Raw genomic sequence first — 14,612 nt, 5'->3', positions numbered from 1 at the left:
CTCAAATTAAACATCAAGAGAAATCCCCAGCATCATCTGATGTACCTAGCACAAGTAGTCCTCCTTGCTATATATCATATATTGGTCAAAAATGTGCCAACTTAACTTTACACAACTATCTTTTTCTTATTTGTGTGGGAAAGGTGAATTTTGACCTGAGAGTACCTTGCTCCAAAAGTGGGTAAACAATTTCAAGTAAAGAACAGCTATCCTTCAGGACAATTATCCAGAAATGTCTTTTTAAAAACACTACATCTCAGACAATGCCTGGCTGTGCCATCTTTCTGCAGCATGGATGTTCTGGGCTCTCCTCCAAGCTGTTGGGTGCTAATTCTTCAAGCTTGATGGGCTCTGTCTAGCCTTCATTGTAACTAATTTGACATTGTCAAAGTCAGAGTGTCATGACCAGAGTAAAGCAAACTTGGAGAAACCCTGGCAGGTGAGCAGAATCAACTCTGGGGGTTGGTTTCTAAAATGATTCCACACAGCAGCTGAGGACAAGCTGAACCCAGCCAGAGATCTCTGGTAGCTTTTTGACTTCTGTTGACAAGGTCACATTTAATCACTAATTTCTTCCTATATTACTTCTGGGTCATTACAAATACATACTGTGGCTCTTGCTGGGCAACTAAGGGTGTCATAGAAACAATTCTCTTTACTGGATTGTAACATAGGTCCAGAATTCTAGTGGACTAGCACAGGCTTTTTCTTGTCCTCTCTTTGTAAGATACATACATGGGTGAACAAGGACTCTGAAACAAATTAGGGAGGGAAACCACCCATCAAGAGGCAATTGCACAAGTTTATTAATTGACTCAGTGAAAATGATTCAAATTATTAGAAATTCAGATGTACCTAGAGGACATGATGCATTCTCATGGAAAGCTGGTGTTTCCCACATCTGAGTGAATGTGCTGGATTATTCCCCATCAAAATGTTAGTTTGAATCAACAAGGGTCAATAATCTTGTGAATGGCTTTATGTTCTAGTATATTTAAGTACTTATTGTGTGCCTTGTAAGATTCAGTTGAGTGCGCCTGTCTCATTCCTGTGAGATCCTATATTTTGATTATTCATCCAGTATTTATTGAATGCCTATTATCTATAAAGCCATAAATTAGGCACTGGAGGACAGCAAAAAGAATGTATAATGTTGTAATGATGATAAGACTTGAACTCAAATTATTGCCATATGAGGAAAAATTATGTAAAACAAAAAAATCACAATTTTTTAAACATTTCATAATTATATTTGAGAAGAATCCTAGTGGTTAACTGCGTATGGCCCTTTTGGAATTTCTCAAGAGGCCTCTTAATATTTTGTAGGACACTTTTTGAAAAAGAAGGTGTGGGCGTGGAGATGTCTTTAGATTTCAGACTTCCTGGATTTGTTTTTGAAGGACATCAAGCACCTGAGGATAAATTTGCTTCTTTTTCTTTTTTTTAAGACGGAGTTTCACTCTTGTTGCCCAGGCTGGAGTGCAATGGCGTGCTCTCGGCTCACCACAACCTCCGCCTCCCAGGTTCAAGCAATTCTCCTGCCTCAGCCTCTCGAGTAGCTGGGATTACAGTCATGTGCCACCATGCCCAGCTAATTTTTTTGTATTTTTAGTAGAGATGGGGTTTCTCCATGTTGGTCAGGCTTGTCAGTAACTCCTTACCTCAGGTGATCCACCTGCCTCGGCCTCCCAAGGTGCTGGGATTACAGGCGTGAGCCACTGCACCTGGCCAATTTGCTTCGTTTTTTAAAGCAAACTATTTCAAGCCCTATAAGGAAATGTGAATTATCCATATTAGTAGAAAGTAAGCTCATTAGGAGTAAGGCTTTGTCCCCAGTTATACTACTGTGACCCAGCCCTAAAATAGTGTCTGGCATGTTGTAGGGGACTCAATAAATATTTGTTGAATGGATCCTTTTAGCATCTTTAGTCCTTGCTGTGTTTTAGGTAACCTTTTTGCTGGACAGTTCCATAGAGATAGTGGCTCAGTCTCTATGTAAATGGTTAGCCAGCCAACCACCTGCAAACTCATTGGTTAATTAGCCTTTAGGTGACCAGTGGTCAAGCTGAGCAGGTCTTGAAGATGATGAAAATAGCTCTATTGGTTTATCAACTATTTCAGTTGTTTACATTTTTAATGAAATTGTTGGGTTCAGCTTAGTGAAGGCTATTTGATCCTCAGCCTTTGCTAGGTAAAGCAAGTTGATTCTTCTCACTCTAAATCAGTTAACTGTGTTGATGCTGGTGTGGGAAGGAGGCAGCCAGAGCCATGGAGATAAATTTACACCCTTTCTGAGGATATCTGGGTCACATTTACTTATTCCTTTGAACTTCCTTATGGTTAATTCTGTCTCACTATTTCCCACTTTTTAAAAACTGAGATGGGAGATGTCAGCGCTTGCTGCCAATGCCATCCTCTTTTTCTTTTGTATTACCCAAGTGGTTGGAGCAGAGAGAAGTGGGACAGGTTGGGGAATGGAGTCCTGGCTTTCTTTAGCCCAGCCAAGAAAGGAAACGCCAAAAAAATCTGCTGTCCCAGATTCTTTTGAAACATAGGCCCCAGTATTTACAAACAAAAAAACAAAACAAAAACACTTCCCCCCAAGTGCTGTCTGGTCTTTCAAAGGCACCACACTGTGATTGATAATTTTGTACCACTATTGATGCGGTTCATCGCTGAGAGCCAAATAGGCACATTCAAGGTTATAGTGAACAGACAACTTTCTCTGGGCAGACAGTCTGTCCCTGGCAATCTTTCTTGACAGTTCACTGAAAGGGAAACAAATTTGCTGCAGCTCTGGTCAAAACTTTAACCATTTCAAGCATTGTTATGTCTTGTTGGTCTGTGTATTCAAACTCTTGCCTGGTAATAGTAGTTTGAAGTTACACAATAGTTTTCAAGTTTAATCAGAATAACTGCATGTGGAGCAGTCATTGCTAATTGCATGGTCTGTTTTTCTGAAAAAAATTGGGGGGCTAATGGGGATTGGATAAATGGTTTTTATTTTCCTTTGCTTGATTCGTTGAAGGGCACTTGGTTTTCTGTTCCTAGCATGTTGTATGTGGTCATGATGCATGCATTTCACTTCCACTTGGGTAAGAAGAAAGTCAGATTTCTTTCAAACATTACTGCGTTTGTCACGTCTCCATATTCTAATGCTTTCATAAATCCAGTCTCTCCATTATGTGGAATATCAGTCGTGGGTTTAAGTTTGCACATGACGTTGAGGACAGACAGACAGAAGGTAAGCTAGGAAAACTACTTAGAAGTGGAGGGGAAAACCTCCTATTCTGCAAAAAGGTTCAGTTCACTTTGAGCCAGGGAAGCATAATATAGATGGTCTGGTAATTTTATCTGATTATTAAATGTCTGCATTGAAGTAATTTAGATAAACATTGTCACCAATCTCAGACTTTTAATTCTCCCTACTTTTCTTTTTAATCTTTAAAGCTGGGATAGCTTATTTGGCACAGCTGAAATGTCATGATTTCTGATTTAAAAATTAGACACGTATGCCATCTACCTGGTGTCATTGCAACTGAACCTTTCACATGCATGAGTAGAACTAGATACCTAGTTCTGGATTTCTTCCTCTGTGGTTGTATGGAGTAGCACATGGGCACTGTATTTTAAGGACTGTGTTATTGTGTGATGGATCTCTGGGTAGTTAGACACCCCACAACACTAAAAACATAGTAGAAGTTATTCCCCAAATTACAAAGCAGCTTTAATACCTTGATACTCCCAAGGCAAATATGGATTTTTAAAATTCTCAGATCACTGTTGAAACCCAAGACAGGTTCAAATTCAATTTGGAAAGAACTCCATTTAAAACTAATATTTCAGTCATGTAGTATAATCTTGGATTTGGTGCTTCTCCACATAACCCACAGGGCTTTTTTCTGGTTCGTGGTCTGTAAGCTGGATGTTGATGATAATTATTTTCAGGTAACTCTGGCAGCCAATGGAAAGTCAGCCGACTGCAGTGTTGAGGAAGAACCTTGGAAACGTGAGAAATAAGGATATGAGTCTCAGCAAATTCTTGAATAAACTCCCCAGCGTATCCTATGGTAACTGATGATATAAACAAGCTTTCTTTAAAAAGGAAAAAAATGCGTATATTTCTATGTTTACTTAATCTGTTAGCCGAGGCTTAGAGGAGCTCTTGTGAGTCAGTGATGACAGGCACGGTGCTGTGTCTTTGCCAAATAATGCTTTATAACCGTCTAATTTTCTCACTTGTATTATTATTTGAATGGATGCTGCTGGAGGAATCAGTTGGAATTGAAGACACGTTCTTGCCAGCTTCCCTTTTCTCCCAAGATGCAGAAATGTGGATGCTCTTTTCCCAGGGGACATGAGTAAAGCAGTGTGGTACACTCCAGGGACTTGGGAAAATGAGCAAACACACAGCGTGTTATTCCTTAAAGTGTTCTCCATGTCTCGCCTTGTTATGCACAAGAGATTCTATTAAAAGCCTCTAGAAGTAACTCCCCTTAAAATGTCTAGTAAAGCTTGCACATGGATTGATTAAAAGCAAATACCTGTCTTAGGGAATTCTGACAATTTATCTTCCATATGCTCTTTAAGTAAAATGTTTCAAAGACAGTTTTAAAGGGAGCCATGCTCTTAAAGGCAGTTGATTAAAGAACCTGTTACATCTCTGCCTTACCCTGTGTAATCTGTGAGAACAATGGTTGAAATTTCAAAGTATGTTTCATTATTCTTTCTAAATTTGATAATTGATTAGGAAGTATTTTATATATAACCACTGTAGATATTGACAAAAGTAAGAGAGCACAGTCAACATAAAGTTTAACCAGAGTTAAATATTCAAATTTATTTATGTTCGGTTTGCCTTCACCTGGTGTAGTAAAATCAAATGAGATTATTTGGTATGTGTTTTGCTTTGTTTAACCCAAAAGATTATTTTTTGGTTCCTAAAGAAAAAGATATTTTTAATCTGTCAATTATTTCAGTCATCATCTCATCGTCCTAGAAAGCCTGGTCATTTTACTGTCCTCACACATGGAAGACACTTGTGTTGGCTGTGCCTCTTTTAATGTCATCTCTTGATGAAACAAAAATACTGGTATTTATCCAATATGTTGAAAGCGTTTTGTTATCTTCTATCAAAGCACATAAAACCAGTTATAGGACACAGTTGGAAGCAGAGCCAGTCTTCCTCCTCAGTCTTCTCAGTAGAAAGGAACAGAAAACAAACATCTGTGCAAAACCCTATAAAAGTGATATTCCTATGGCAGAGTCCAGGCAGCCTTGAACAATGACATGGCAACAAAGGATGGCTCTGTACAACTTCACAGATGGAATCTTGTTTAAGGCTGTGAAGTTTTAAGGAATAAATAATATAATTGGTGTAGCACAGTGCCTTGCATGCAGTAGGCAGCCAACAAATCCTTAATGATTGGTAATGCAAGCTAAAATTTTTAATGTCTCTACTATCCTTTTTTATTGAATAACGCACAGTATTTTCCTAAGGTTGCTGGGTTTGGGAGTAAGCTTGGGACTTGAATCATTGAGAAATAAAGCACATTTGACTCTAAGAAGTATGTAGAACCTTGTTTATAGGTGAGAATAGGCTGTATTATATGAAACCAGCGGAGGGATGCTGAGACAGTCATGGTTTATAGAATCCAAATTCTCTGAGATGAGGGTGCTTATGGACCTCAAATAGCCTTTCTTATCTGCTCCTTGTGACTTCTCTCTTTTAAATCAGATACCTTTGAAACATACAAGAGACATGAGATTCCAGTTGTTTTTGTCTCCTAAACCCTAGTGATTTTTGGATAAGGATCACTACTGAACAGTATTAGGCAACTTTTCATTTTTGCTTTTCAAATGACATTGGTCTTTATTTCCAGTAGATGGGCAGTAAACAGGGTCAGGGTGGTCAAGGGATATGATTAAGTGTAGTAGTAGAAAATGCATTCTTTTTTTTTTTTTTTTTTTAGACAGAGTCTTGCTCTGTTGCTCAGGCTGGAGTACAGTGGCACGATCTCAGCTCACTGCACTGCAATGTCCACCTCTCTAGTTCAAGCGATTCTCCTGTCTCAGCCTCCCGAGTAGCTGGGACTACAGGCACATGCCACCATGCCTGGCTAATTTTTTGTATTTTTAGTACAGATGGGTTTCATTATGTTAGCCAGGATGGTCTCGATCTCCTGACCTCATGATCCACCCGCCATGGCCTCCCAAAGTGCTGGGATTACAGGCGTGAGCCACCGTGCCCGGCCAGAAAATACATTCTTTACAGCAAATGTTATAGGTTAAGGAGACAGTTCCTGGGTTTAGCTGTGAAACTGTTTAGGATTTTCTTTAAGTGGTGTTCCCAAGAGCTTTTTTCTGGTAAGTTGGAGGCTATAGGCAAAGCGTCTAGGAGCTTGTTGTTTTTTGCTATGGAAGGCCAGCTTTGGGATCTATATACATGGGCATGTTTCTCAATGGAGTGGTCACAGGATTCTCTTCTCAGAACTCTGCCTGAAACCTTTCCGGTGTGTTTTGTCTTCAACTTTTTCCTAGCTATCCTATTAGCCTGTAAATATGTCAGCAGACAATGTGTTTGGAAGAAACAAGGTGTACAACTTCACAAAGCAAGTTTTTTCTGGTCTGAGACTTACTGTGTGCAGGAAGTCTCGTGAGAATATACTTAGAAAATCACACTTATCTGGAAATTCAATAAGTCATATTAAAAATATACAATTTCTTGAACTCAGGACTAGCCTGAAAATCCAAAATGCATGTAGAGTTGACATGTTGACATATGTCTATGTCCTCTGTTTTTATTTAAGCCTCATTTATTTCTCCCTTGCCATGCCCATTTGGGATTTTCTTTGCCCAGCATATGTGCCATAAACAGAACAAATGGATCCAGGGTATACCTCTAATAACCTTTATCTAAATAGAATACATTTAACCTGTCAATTATATGTATAGATTTATCCTAATTGGTTCAACATATATATGAATGCTTGTAATAGTCTGTTACTATTTGATAATGCATAAATGTTATATTTATATACAGTTACAGCAGGCCAGAAACATACATACACTGCATCCTGTAAGGTCTGTAAATCAGGGCTTCGGCAATGCCATTTTGCTATAGACTCATTCATGTTTTTTAGGAATCAGAATCATTTCAGGAGAAAACCAACTAAGTAGACTTTAATTCTTCTCTTTCTCATTCTTGCCCTTTGAGAAACCCAAGTGGAATCATCACTTAATTACTTACTCAAATTCAATGAATCAAATCCAATCCAATCAGTGAGAAGAATAGCTTATCTTTCAAGGTAATACTTTACCTTAGATCTTTGAGGGCATGCTTCCCATACAAAGAGCATCAGAAAATCAGGGCAATCATCTAGATCTCACAGATCTTCAACATAGGACTCTAGGTTATGAGAGCTGAACCACATAGCTATCAGTTTCAGTTTTTACTTCCTATTGAGTGTGTAGAAACACAGCCTATGGTTTTGCTGTCTGCGGAAGTTACCATACCCTGTAAAAGACAAATATTTCTTTCTCCTCTCGAACCACTAGTCAGCCTGGATATTCATGAAAGCTGAAAGAAGGGGTGCCAAAATGCCTAGCTCCTGGATTTAGACTCATGGAATATGAGAAAGGCTTAGGGAAAATTCAAGTCATGGGGAGATTCCTGCTAGGTGATGCCAGGAATCTCAATGACCTGTTGATTAGAGGGTCTCTGGTCATTTCCACTTGTGTGTGGAGAAATACATCATTTGCATATGTATCTAGTCAAGAAGCCCTTTTGGAGCAAAGTGGTTGGGAAACTCATTTACTGGGTCCACCAAAGGAAACCCAATTCTGCCATGTTTTTGCAAATACTACACGTCCCTTTGCTCTCAATAGCAAAAGTGATGTTATAGTTTTTTTTACTTTTGTCAGAATCAAGGCTTCGGCCACCTGTGCAATATTTTCCCATGGAATGCAGCAGTAAATCCAAGTAGGTATATCCGTGCTCAGAGAGAATTCTCCATAGTTCTGACTCCTGAAAAACAAGTCTCATTAGCTCTCATCTAGTTTGATGACTAAAAGTGCACAGCAGTTATACCCCAGTGGAAGTGATTTTTCTCACCTAGCTGCTCTCTAACTCTTACGGCTATCTAGTTGTCTGAGCTGCTGGTTTGTTTTACTTATTCTCCAACTGAACTCATTCCAAACCAAGAAAAAGGACCAAATGAAATTTTCAGTTATTATCATACTTGCTCCTTGAATAAGAATGCTAGAGTCTGGAGGCAGAAGAAGACTAAGTTAAAAAAAAAACAGCCTGAAGGAATTCTGGAGTGAGTTTTGTAAGTCTAATTGTCAAAGAAGATAAATGGTCTCAGTATCTGTAGTAATTTCTGGTTAAGCCTAGAGGGATCACTGAGTGCCAATCCAAGCAGGTGGCACTAGAGGCAGATTGTTCTCCTAGCATAGAGTGAGTTTCCAGCTGCTCATGACACATTTTCTTATGATTTTCCCTAAAAGAAAACCAAATTTTCTACTCCACCTCTTCCTTTCCTATCATTCCACTTATTGTTGCTGCTTTGCTAACAGCCAGCTTAGTAAGCCATCACACAAGTTAGTGTGAGGCTTGGTTTTAAAATAGATAACAGAGAATCTTGATTAAATAGTATCCAACTTTGTAGCATAACACAGCTAATTCAGGCAATGACATAGAGATGATAAGAAACAACATGGTTTGGTAGAGGGAACATTTGATTTAGACTCTGCCCATTTTTAGCTGTATGACTTACATAAGTCATTTTGTGTCCAAGCCTCATTTTCTCCCATATGAAAAGTGAAGGGGTTGGATTAAATGACTAAAATCCCCTTCCAGCCCTATGAGCCCAATGTATTATGATCTCTGCTTTGTTTCCTTCTTAAGAGGCTTCCTACTATAAAATGTGACCTATTTACATTTTAAGTTGAAGTAGCCCACAATAATGAATAATCAATTTAGATTTTTCTCATCTCCTTTGGGAGAAATTAAATTCAAGCCTCTATTCATTTGATGTTTTACAACAAGCTTCAAAGTTGGCCATGTTCATTCACAGTTTGATATTTTGAGACACCAATAAAAGTTTTTTAATAAAAGTTCCCTTGACTTAAACTCACCTTCCTAATAGAAGTAGTGATTTGGCTCACGGAAAAATGTTTCCAGAGTCAACATGAGAGGACTGGATGAACCTACAGCCTCACTCAAGCTGTTGCATCATTGCTGCTGTAGCAACAGAGCCCTCTCTGAATACCCAAAACACACAATTTTCTCCAACAATTCTAATTGCCCACCCAGTATGGGAATTTGAGAGCCTTTGGTGAATAACCTTGATCACTCTTTTGAAATTTGGTACAACACTTGCACAATCACGGCAACTGTTTGTAAATATCTTTTCTTCTCCGCCAGTATGTAGACATGCACACCCATTCACAAGTAAGCCCGCAAATTCATTTTCACATTTTCCTCTTGGTTTGTTTTTATCATGGGTATCACATTGCAGGAAGAGATGCTCTAACTTACAAGAATGGAATTTTCTGACTATCATTGCCCTCTTCAAGGCCTGATTAGTTTGTAGGGTGGATGGGATACAATGCATGGTCTACAAGGTCCATGTCACCAGCCATGATCTTTAAACAACCTCTTGCACTTTCTGGCACTGCTGCAATGGCCCATGGTGGACACCTCTGCTGTTTGTCCAAACTTCTGCTAAATAGAGTAGTGTTGGTATTTGTTGTGTTGTGAACTCCTTTGTTGTCAGAGAAGACTTCAGCTCTTCAGGTTTGCAAGGGCAAGATGTAAAGCTAGGACTGAAAGGATTGGGTTTTGTTTTTCGGCCGGCTTTTTTCCATTAGTGCAAAAAACCTGATGCAAGGGCAGCAAGATAAACACAATTTCTTCATTGACCCAGATAAGAACCTGTAGAAAAGTGAGAGATGCCCCTAAGTTCCTATTTCATTTATCCTAAATAATATCCTGAATAACTACTGATCAGTTTTTTTCTATGTCCAGCCTTGCTTCACTTTCCAACCTCCAGGCCAAATATTCATTTTGATATTTTACAAAATCCTTCTGGTTTTTACACAGGGCCCTTTTGTGCTGAGAATAAAACCAGCTATTGGAACAGACCTCACTGCTTTGTAGAGTCAGAAGTTGACCTAGAGAATGGGTAGCAACAGGTCCTCAGTTTCTCTGGAGACACCCCCAATCCTTGGGTGAGTGTTGAAACCTGACAACTGACTGTTAGCCTTGTCATCATCCTCACTGGAGATGGAGATGTTGCAGTCGGAGCCTCACTCCTTCTGGGGCACTGTTTCTTCTCATGGCAACCATTTTGCCTGCCTGGAAACAGCCTGTTGCCTTTGCTAGGGGGCAAATACACACACTAGCCAAGGAAGTTGGTCCAGCACATCTCTGAGGTTTCTCCCCCATGGACCCATGGAGCGAATTCCCTGAGATAAATGATCAGAAAGTTGGCTGTCTGGTGGTTTAATACTCCATAAGAGTTACTTCCCTTATAGAAAGTCATCCTTTGGCATCTAGATTTTTCTACAAATCACCTTAACTCCCTCCCTTTCTCTTTCTCCTGGAAAACCTCAGCATTGCATCTCCATGTTGCACAACACAGATCAGATTATCTGGTCACTATAGAGATTTGTATATAAAAAAACTACTTTTTTGAGGATTTTGTATATTGTTTTTCTATTTGTTTTCTACAGCTTGAGGAAAGAGCTGGCAAACTGTGAATCTAACTTGATCTTGTTGCCAGCAGATATATTTTGGCTTCCTGGTAAGAGTCTGTGTTACCAGGGACAATATATTGCCCTCTGATCAGTATTGCACCCTAAATCCACAAATTCCTCCAGCCCAGTCTTACATTTTTTTAAACAAATCCCCTAGCTTGTTTGCTATTATTTATAAAGAGCATTAGAAAATGTATTTATAGACCTGGATGTTATATGTTTAATATTAATTTAGCCTTTAATAATGTTATAGGTTTGTAACTATTCTTCAGAAATTATAAAGAACTCAGTGTAGACTGAATTAATCTATTTAGTATCTGTAATTTTGCAGACATATTTTCTTACAGTATTTTCTATGTAACCACACATGTAGAATTATAACTAATTAGAGCACAAGAAGTTTCTTCAGCAATTTAGAGCTACCAATTGTTTCTTGACTATATAGTCACATTTGACAAATTTAAGAACCCAGTCTTTAGTGATGCAATAAACAAAATGAACCATTAAGAACAAGGAATTGCTTAAATCCCTTAGCTGGTGAGGATATACATCTAAATAATTCATCTTTCTAACTCAAGGAATGGTGCTGATTTTTTAAATGTTTGACACCAGGCCTTGTTTTTCCAGCTGAGCATTCTCATTTTGCTTTTCTCTAAGACTATCAAAGACAAGGTATTAATAGTAGGATTATTCCTAGATCAGAATGTTTCATACATTCCTAAAGGTTTATGTGGAAATTGGCTTAGGAAAACTTTGAGTAGCAGAGACTGAGGATGAGTGCTAGAGATGAAATCAGGACAGATTTGTTGCAGTTAATTCTTGCCAAGCAAATTAGTGGTAAATGTCACATTGTTATGTGAATTGAGCACATATTTTTAAAGAAAGTTTACAAAAAATTTTTAGAACCAACTATGAGGCAATACTGTATCACTGGGGGCTGGGAGTGGGGGCTTAGAATCATACTGAAATTGTTTAAAAGCAGCCCAGGTAGTTTCTGTCCTCAGGTGAATAACAGACTATATAACTTCCCCGAAAGGTAAAACGATAGCCACTGCAGAGACGAGGTGTCTTCCTTCCACCAAATACTTTCTGAGATGGTGGTAGGAGTAGTATTTTTACCGTGGTTTAAAAAGTAGTCAGTTACATAGAAAGTGTATTGGTATGTATTTGAACCTGCTCTTCATTAAACAAACAGATTAGATGTACCCTCGACTGGCAATAATTGTATCTATTTTCAAGTACAGCTAGCTGTCAAAGCATGAAGCTCTTGTGTATACACACTGACACTTGGTTCACGCATGAAGAACAGTGCCTATGCACTTTGTGTAGCTATAATGTAGGTATCTAGGTGTAATTTCAGTGAAATGGTGTATAGATGTATTGTAATTTAAATGTATATGTTATTTTTGGCTATTCATCTAAATGCAGTAGACATGTTGATCGGTGTTTTGCAAACATTTCTTTTTCCTTCTTAGATAACTAGTCGTGAATCATTTCTCCTCTTTCTCAGTGTGGCTTGGGAATATATATGAGTGAAGAATTTATCTGTGAATCCTTTGTACTGATGATTGTTTGAAAGTCTGTGTGTGTCCAGCACCTTTGTAAATACACAATTCAGAGCAGGGATGGGCTGGGTGTGTGTCCTGGTTCTTAGTGAAAGGTCATCTCATGTCTGTTTAATACATGGTGAATGCAACTGTGGAACTTTTGATTACCTAGACTTAGGTAGGTTTAGAATGAGAACATCCATCTACAGTCCTCCTTTGCTTGGTGGATTGGGCTCAGAGGAACAAAAAGTTAGTCTGACTCTGTGCATATTAGCATCATGTCTTTAGAGAAAGGTCAGCCTCTCTGGTTGCCAAATACTCATCATGATGCTCATGACTTAAAGGTTCTGAGGAGCCTTGTCTCCCTTGGATTTTTGAGTCAGGGTACAGGAAAAAACATTGCTGACTAACTAACTGCAAATGCATCTGCAGGTGAAACCCTACGAAAGCACAGTTCTGGCTATAAACTTCAGAGTTCTCTGTAAAAAACTTAGAGCACTAGAAGCACAGGAATAGTGAGTGTACAGCTTATGCGGTTGTAGAGGGGCAACTGATGAACACAGGTCCCACATATATGAGGGAGTATGACGTTCTCTACCTAATATGTTCTGTGTGCATGTTTTGAATGATTGAAGATGGGATTAACTAATGCAAGTTTACAGTTGCCTCCTAAAACACACATTCTGTATAATTATCGCTAAATACAATGCTGTGAGGTCTATAGTTCCTGTAACCCCTTTCTCCTCCCCAAGGACAGAGAAGAACTAGCCATGTGCTATAGGGAACCCTGAGTGCCCTACTCTTTTCCCAAGAAGGGTAAAGCCTACAATATCATCAGGGGGCATGAAGCACATTAATTTGCAGTGGCTGCTTCATATGAGGAGATATGGTGGACAGGCTAATTTTTCCTTGAAAATGTGGCTTCTTCAACTCCTTTCAAATTTAGGATGGAATACTTCCTGAAATAAAACTGGGCTTTATGCAGGATTCTCTTTGAAAATTCTTGTATGTCCAGAACAAAAGATAAAACTAATTGTATTCCTCACATTCACAATCCCCATTGGTCTGAAGTCACGTAGCACAGAGCATCTATAGCACATAGTGTTTAAAGACTAATGAATGCAAAAAGATAAAATCTTCAACTAATTTTTGAATTGTTTCTCATATATGCTACTAGAAAATGCCTTGTTGATGAAGCACATTTTGGGTAGTTGAGGTCTTTTGTTTTCGCCTTTAGCTTTCTAAGCTTTCTTACAATGTGGACTGATTACTGTAACATTTCACGTGTAAAATAACTGGATATTCTTTATATACTGGAAATAACCTGTGAATCCAATATTTCACTAAGTGTTTTAACTTTTGTGTATATATCTCTCATCAATAAATGTGGATTTCAATTTATTTTGGTTGTTGCCTCTTCTTTAATTCCCATTTTAGACTAATTGTTGGTTACATAGTAGTGTTCTTTTTGTAGAAACATGAATTGATGGCTACAATGTTAAAATGAGTATTTTCTAGGAAGCCTAAATATCTATTGGAATTACATCGTGCAATCTAAAGTTAGTAAGTTGAATGAAATGGTATATAGTCAATGAATCAGCTGGTATGGGGTAGCCCTCAAATCTCAGGGCCTTAAAACCAAAGTGTATTTCTTATTCATGTGACATGTCCATTACCAGTTGGCTGGGAGACTCTGCTCTGTGCTGTCCTCACTCAGGATGTATGAGGGAGGCTCCATCTCCATGCTTTTGCAGCTGCCAGTGCAGGAAGAGGAACTTGGCAAATCTTACATGGACTCTTACAGCTTCCCCTGAATGTGTGTACCTCACTTCTGCTCATATTTCAAGGGCCAAATCAATTCACATAGCTCCATCTAACTATGAAAGGAAGTGCAACCTCACCAGATTCACAGGAAGAAAACTGGAACTAGCTGGTGAATAGCTCTAATGACTATCAGGCCATGGAAATCCCTTAAATCATTCATAAAGGATAGTATACAAACATATCATTTCTCGACAAGTTCAACATAGCAAGTTTTTCCTCCAGTATTGGAAAAATAATGACTGTGGAAGTAAGGGGCAAGCCTTAACTGGTGATGCTGTAGAAATAAAATGCATGCTCTTCGACAGTAGGATCACACCCAGCATGGTGAGATTCTGATGCACTGAAAGGTATATGTCCAGGAACAGAGACCCACAGAAAGAGTGGCAGACTCTTGCGTCACACTGTAGGACACCCACTGTTAGATGGCCTGGATTAGTTGAATTGTTTTCTCTTATTCTATTTTAGGGGGAAATGAGGCAA

The 14,612-nt window shown here is 38.8% G+C and overlaps 1 protein-coding gene across 15 annotated transcripts in view; it reads left to right on the top strand.

Moving 5' to 3' along the window:
- The window catches only part of SLC1A2 (solute carrier family 1 member 2), a 169,303-nt gene extending 155,594 nt beyond the window's left edge, over window positions 1-13,709 (top strand). For all 15 annotated transcript variants that reach the window (XM_047427443.1, NM_001439342.1, NM_001195728.3 and 12 more), the window contains one exon: window positions 3,949-13,709. In XM_047427443.1, the coding sequence (XP_047283399.1) occupies window positions 3,949-4,020 (72 nt within the window). In that variant the 3' untranslated portion in view covers window positions 4,021-13,709. The remainder of the gene's footprint in view (window positions 1-3,948) is intronic.

The sequence above is a fragment of the Homo sapiens genome, chromosome 11, assembly GCF_000001405.40.
Source record: "Homo sapiens chromosome 11, GRCh38.p14 Primary Assembly".
Classification (NCBI taxonomy): domain Eukaryota; kingdom Metazoa; phylum Chordata; class Mammalia; order Primates; family Hominidae; genus Homo; species Homo sapiens.
The sequence above is the reverse complement of the archived record's forward strand: the minus strand, read 5'-3'. Positions and strand labels throughout refer to the sequence as shown.